Genomic DNA, 6,325 nt, shown 5'->3' with positions numbered 1-6,325 from the left:
GGAGCTCAGAGGGATGGATATAAAAATTTGGAAGACATCTGCATAAAGAAGGTGTTTAAAGCCTTGATAATAGACAAGGCAACCTAGGGGGAGAGTTTAGAGAAAGAAATAAAGAGGGCCTGAGAATAATCCCTTAGGAACAGCAATATTTAAAGCTGTTTAGAGAAGAACAAAGAGATATGAGATGCTTTGGACAGTGAAATGGAGGGAGCAGGAAAGGATGATGACAGAAAATCCAAGACAGGAGAGGGCTTCTTAAAAAAGGCAGTTGTCACCCTGTCCTCCAACTGCCTAAGGTGCTGAAAGGAAAGGAGGCCAAGGGGAAGAAAGTGGCACCCACCCCTGCTGTCATGAAGAAGCAGGAGGCCAAGAAGGTGGGAAGTCCCTGTTTGAGAAAAGGCCTAAGAATTTTGGCACTGGACAGGATATCCCGCACGAAAGGGACCTCACCTGCTTTGTCAAATGGCCCCGCTACATGCAGTTGCGGCGGCAAAGGGCTATCCTCCATGAGCGGCCGAAAGTTCCTCCTGCCATTAACCAGCTCACTCAGGCCTTGGACTGCCAGTTACTCAACTGCTTAAGCTGGCCCACAAGTGCAATCCAGAGACAAAGCAAGGGAAGAAGCAGAGACTGTTGGCCTGGGCTGAGAAGAGAGCTGACAGCAAAGGGGCTCTCCCCATTAAGAGACCACCTGTCCTTCAAGCAATTTCAATACTATCACCACCGTGGTAGAGAACAAGAAGTCTCAACTGGTGGTGACTGAACACGATGAGGATCCCATCAAGCTGGTTGTCTTTCTGCCTGCCCTGTGTTGTAAAATATGGGTCCCTTACTGCCTTATCAAGGGGAAGGCAAGACTGGGACGTCTAGTCCACAGGAAGACCTGCACCACTGTCGCCTTCACACAGTTTAACTGGGAAGACAGAGGAGTTTTGATGAAGCTGATGGAAGCTATCAGGACCAATGACAATGACAGATATGATGAGATCTGCCACCACTGGGAAAGCAATGTCCTGGGTCCTAAATCTGTGGCTTACATTGCCAAGCAGGAAAAGGCAAAAGCTGAAACACTTGCTACTAAACTTGGTTAACCATACACTGTTGAGTTTTCTGTACAGAAAAATAAGAATAATTCTCCCAGGCAACATAATGAGATCCATCTCTATAAAACAAATAAATTAGCCAGGCATGGTGGTGTGTGCCTGTAGCCCCAGCTACTCTGGAGGCTGAGGTAGGAGAATCACTTGAGCCTGGGAGGTCAAGGCTGCAGTGAGCCATGATCAAGCCACTGCACTCCAGCCTGGGCAACATTAAATAAATAAATAAATAAGTAAATATAATTTTAAAAAAAATAAAAATTTGCCTTCAAAAACAGGGAGGTTGTCAACATGTCATATGCTGCTGAGAAGTCTAACAGGGTAAATTAAATCACCTATATCACTTGACTCCAGTGTCTCCACAAAGCTCTCATCCCTTAAGACACTTCCACTCAGCTCCCAGATGTATAAAAGTCCATATTTAGACCTCCATCCTTTTTTTATTACATTCAATGTCTCATGAGTGAAATATCAAATTGAGTCACTTCTAGCCCCTAGAGGGAATACATTTCAGATCATGTCTGGATATTGGAGATTTGATAAAGAAAAAGAGAGACAGAGAGGGAGAGAGAGATGAGTATGGGCTAGTGACAGTACTGTTAAAGTTGGAATGAGAGAAAGGCAGAAACAAGGAGCATGGAAGATATCAAAAGGCAACCGCAGCTATTTTACACATTTGTCTGGGGCCTGCTCACTCCACTGAGTCATTCCTGTTTCATGCTGGTATTCTGGCTGACATTTGGTTTGATACATGAGTATAAAATCTCCCTTATCCCCTTCAGGGGATGCTCTCTTTCTACCTGATACACCATTGGTAATGAAGTTCTTGATGAACCCTCTTCACAGTCTTTATTACATCTAGGATATTATATATCCTAATCTACTTGAGGTAGGATTAATGACATAATAAGGAACAAAACTTTTATTAATATATAAACACTATATGATGCTATCATTTGATTGATGGAGACATAGAGACTGAGAAAGATGTCCCAGGTGACTTGTATCTTCAGACCCACCCACAACCCAAACTAGACCAATCCACAGCCTTCAGAAGAGTGAGTTTGCCAGAAGGAGACTCTATTCCTAGTGGATACCAGATAGAGGTGGATTCCAGCTGCACACATGGACCTGAACCATTGGTGTTTAAATTCTCTAAATTCCTCTTTGATCTTTCACGGGTCTTGAGGGAAGAGTTAAGATTAAAACTGGTTCACCTTTAGTGTCAAAAATTTCCACAGTAAATGGGTTCCAACCACTTGATTGGGGTAAGGGGGCAAAAAATGCCATTTGTCAAAGTACTTAATTTTTTAGAAACCCTATTTTCATGTGTCTTTGTAGGAACAAAACAAAGGCAGCTAGTATCCTCTTTATGACTCATAGTTAGGAAAACATTGATGTTATGTAACAAGTGTTTCTTAACAATAGAAAATTCTCCTAAAATGAATGAACAAACTAACAAATTAATGAATGAAGGAAGAAGTTACACCACATATTGGCTTCTTATAGGAGTCACTTCCAATGACTGTGACTCTCTCTAGACTCAGAACAGGGTATAAGATTGGGACAGACAGGACAGGAATGCAGGAAAAGCTACAAGAGGTATAAACAAAGAGACCTTGGCCTCTGGGTAATGGGGGTGACTGTGCTCTGGACATTTGTCCTTGTGGAGTCTTTTAGGCAACCACAGCCAACTGTTCTCAAATCCCTTACCAGAGGATAAAATTTCCCTGACTGTGCAAAAATGAAGCAGCTGATAGCCTCCCTAAGGATGTATTTTTGAAAGGCAAGCATTTCGCCTCTTCAGAGCAACCCCCTTCAGAGAAGGTTAGCATTCCTGGAGAAGCTCCAGATTGCCCAGAAACTCTGTGTCCCTGGAGTCTGAACAGAGCAACAATATGGAGACAATTCAACAAGATTTCTTTAAAAAAAAAAAAAAAGCCTTTCATTTGATGCCTAGATGACTACAAAGAGGAAGGTAGCTGAGACACGTGAGGACAGTCGCTATTCCTAGAGCCTTGGAACTGCAGGAAGTCAATGGCAGAGCCAGAATTGGGATTTGGCTTTCAGGTGACTGTACCAAGCAGAAGTCCTCTCCATTTTTGTAATTAATCAGTGGCATTTCTATATAAGCCCTACATTGCTCCTAAATTGCCCTCATGGTACAATACATCTAATTGTTTGATGGATCTGCCTCATGGAAATACTGCTTTGAAAAGATCACATAGCCAAAAGTGAGAATAAATTGTCCTGCTTCAGGACTTTCTTCATGTTCTTCCCTCACCTGCAAAAGAAAGAACCCTCTTCCATCTCCACCTATGAACAGTGGTCATTTTGTCTAGAATTATCTTTTGTCCCTAATACTTTGAAGCAATGTGGGATAGGGAAAAAGAGTTAAGAAGTCAGATAACTGGTTTAGAGCCCCAACTCTACCATTTACTAATTACTTGATCTCAGATAAGTTCCTTAACTTAGCCTCGATTTCCTAACATGTAAAATGAATCTAAGAATGTGTACTACACAGAATTGCTGTGAGTATTGCATAAGATCATACACGCATGCTCTTCATCACGCTGTCGGCACTTGAGAAGCACTGTTAGTGCTGCTTCCATTCTGTTCCCAACACCACGATGAATCCAACCAGAAATGACTTTACATTTCCTACCCGTTCCCAGAGTGCTTCTTATTTACCAGTTTATAGAACCCTTATCTAATCTTGTCTCAGCCTCTCTACTACTCTAAAAACTCCTTGAGGGCATCAAATGTATAATGTACAATTTCATCATTTCCCTACTGCCCAGCATGCACATTCACATGAAAAGGGCTCAGTGAACATTTATTAAATAAATCTTTCTCTTTTATCGGGACAAATCAGTAGGTAGACCTTCCTCATATCATTCTTACTTCCTTTCCACCTGTCAGTCTTTACCTAGAGAAAGGAATAAAGAAGTCAGCCAATAAATGAGATGGAGAGAGGAAGGCACTAGCACTTATGGCATGCCTACTATGTGTCAGGGTTTTTACAGTCAGATCTTATTTATTTCTCACATCAAGGCTCCTTTAGCCCCGATTTACAGAAAGGAAACTGACTAAGAAATATAAATAATTTGCCCAGGCTTTCACAAATTATAATAGCCTTTTAATTACCTTAATTGAAATGGGCTCTGTGAAAAATGAAAAGAAATTGAGGGAGAGACACCAGGTTGGTTCCAGAGTCCCTAGCAATCATTAGTTCTTACCAGCTCTCTATTTTGCCAGACACTATCTACAAGTGACAATAATAACTGATTATCTGCTAGCAAGTTGGCCAATTTATAAACTGTCAATTTTTCTCCTTTAAAAAAAAAAAGCCCCAAAAAAGCAGCTTCCCAGAACCCACAATCCCCCTCTCTTTGCTCAAGTTCAAAATCCCATGGTTACCTTTTGTCTCATTCCAAAGTGCAAGGCCCTTTGCCCAGTTGAGAGATAGAGATGTTATTTTTAAGGCTGAACTTTGCACTCTCAGCAGTCCTGCCTTAGAATCAAGAACAGTCTGTTCAGAAGCCCCTGGGGCTTCACAATCCAAACAAACGTGAGGCTCAGGTTCACCTCCCCCATCTCAGAGGAAAGGGTCCAGAGAAGCACAGAAATGAAGCAGTCCTTCCCCAACACGAAAACTTCAGATTTCCCTCCAATGTTTCTTTATTTCCAATTTTTTACTTACTTAATAAGAAAACCTTATTTAGGTCCTAATGGTCTTTGGCATCCTCCTAAACAGAGGCAAGCACAGATTGTATGTGACATGAGGCAACTGTAGTAGCCTGGGCCCAGGGATCAGTGGGGTGAGGTAAGAGAAGGAGCCCAGTATCAGGGAGTAAGTGCCCAAGATTATTTTGAAATAAAAATCTAGAATCCACACACCTAGATATGGAGATTCTCTCAGGTTATATAGTCATGATGTCTAGGGTTTTTTTACACGGAGTCGAAGCCAAGTGGTTGATGTAGAAGCTGGCTCAAGTTGTGGAGTACTTACTACCCCTTCCATTCTCTTCTGTGGCCTGAACTTGTGGCTGGTTCCCAGCCCCTCACAGCCTCACAATCTTGGCTTGTCTCCTCAGAACCTCTCTGCTCCTCTCCTCCCTTTTCCATTTGGGGATTTCATTCAACACCACATTTATATTTTATCTCATAACATTTTCTTTCTCTCATAAAAAAAATGTTTATTTGAGGGTTCTGCTTCACTTCACCATTTGTTTCTACCTGTGAACCACATGAAATTCACCCTACATCCTTATATTTTCATGATTTTGTATGCCTATTTGAATTTCAAATTGCAAAATTTGATTTTACAAACACAAGATTTTACATCTTGGTTCCCAGTCCATGGGAAATCTGTCCCAAATCTCAACTATGTTTTTGGGAAACTGGGCCATGTTTCTATAGATCACTCTGAATTTAACCTCTGGACCAATAGGCAGGGTTTAGAGATCAGAAAATAGAAAAACAGAAAAATAGAAAAATAGCTCTAGCTTGATACACCTGGGGGAGCCTACCGAGTCCATCAAGATGAGGAGAGGCCACTGCACTTCCATTTCTATTGTTGAAATGAGTTTTATAATTGCATGAAGGAAGCCACACCATGGTTAAGTTCAGTGTAAGTTAATTAGTGGATAATAAATCCATAACAGGGTATTTTTTTAAAAAACCCAGAAGTATCCTGAATCATTATGTTCAGTGGCCAAAAGCAATTTCACCAACATATCCCTTGCTACTGCTAAAAAAGACCACTTTTCATAGAAGAATATAAGGCTAAAGAGATAAATGTGGCATCACTTATTTCATATGAGATGAAATGGTCCAAGGAAGAGACCAATCTATCTCCACAGAAGTGACCAGAGTCACTGAGAAACATTAGGGCTTTTTGCAAGAGACAGTAAAGAGGACACATTCTAAAATACTTTTTCTTTCTCTCTTTGTAAAAGATGAATGATATTTTTAACAAGTATTTGGGACCCAGGAATTAAAACTGTGGGATAAACTTGAAGGAGAGAGGGATGGGAGGCACATGCTCAACCTGAGAATGGGTGATGGGAGGAGTGGATAGAGAACCAAGAGCTTGCTGGGACTGTGGTTGATTTTCAGAGGAGATGGGGACTCTTGGGAGCAACTTTGGCTTGAGTCATCTTGATATTCTCTGACCTAGTTCTGGGGAAACTTGTACTGGATTTTAAAAAACTGAAAGACAAAGA

General features: G+C 41.3%; 1 pseudogene, besides 2 other annotated features; it reads left to right on the top strand.

Moving 5' to 3' along the window:
• Nucleotides 277–1,133, top strand: RPL7AP17 (ribosomal protein L7a pseudogene 17; annotated as a pseudogene).
• Nucleotides 4,520–4,664: an enhancer, noted in NCBI's record as "145 bp enhancer 127 fragment used in the MPRA reporter construct; PK_construct_2081". NCBI's record gives its function as "activates an SV40 promoter by MPRA in HepG2 cells {active_cell/tissue: HepG2}" and the evidence as "EXISTENCE:reporter gene assay evidence [ECO:0000049][PMID:23512712]".
• Nucleotides 4,585–4,598: a transcriptional cis regulatory region, noted in NCBI's record as "HNF4 motif; enhancer activity is reduced when this motif is scrambled". NCBI's record gives its function as "necessary for full MPRA enhancer 127 activity {active_cell/tissue: HepG2}" and the evidence as "EXISTENCE:site-directed mutagenesis evidence [ECO:0005528][PMID:23512712]".

Source organism: Homo sapiens, chromosome 1 (assembly GCF_000001405.40).
Source record: "Homo sapiens chromosome 1, GRCh38.p14 Primary Assembly".
Lineage (NCBI taxonomy): Eukaryota > Metazoa > Chordata > Mammalia > Primates > Hominidae > Homo > Homo sapiens.
The sequence above is the reverse complement of the archived record's forward strand: the minus strand, read 5'-3'. Positions and strand labels throughout refer to the sequence as shown.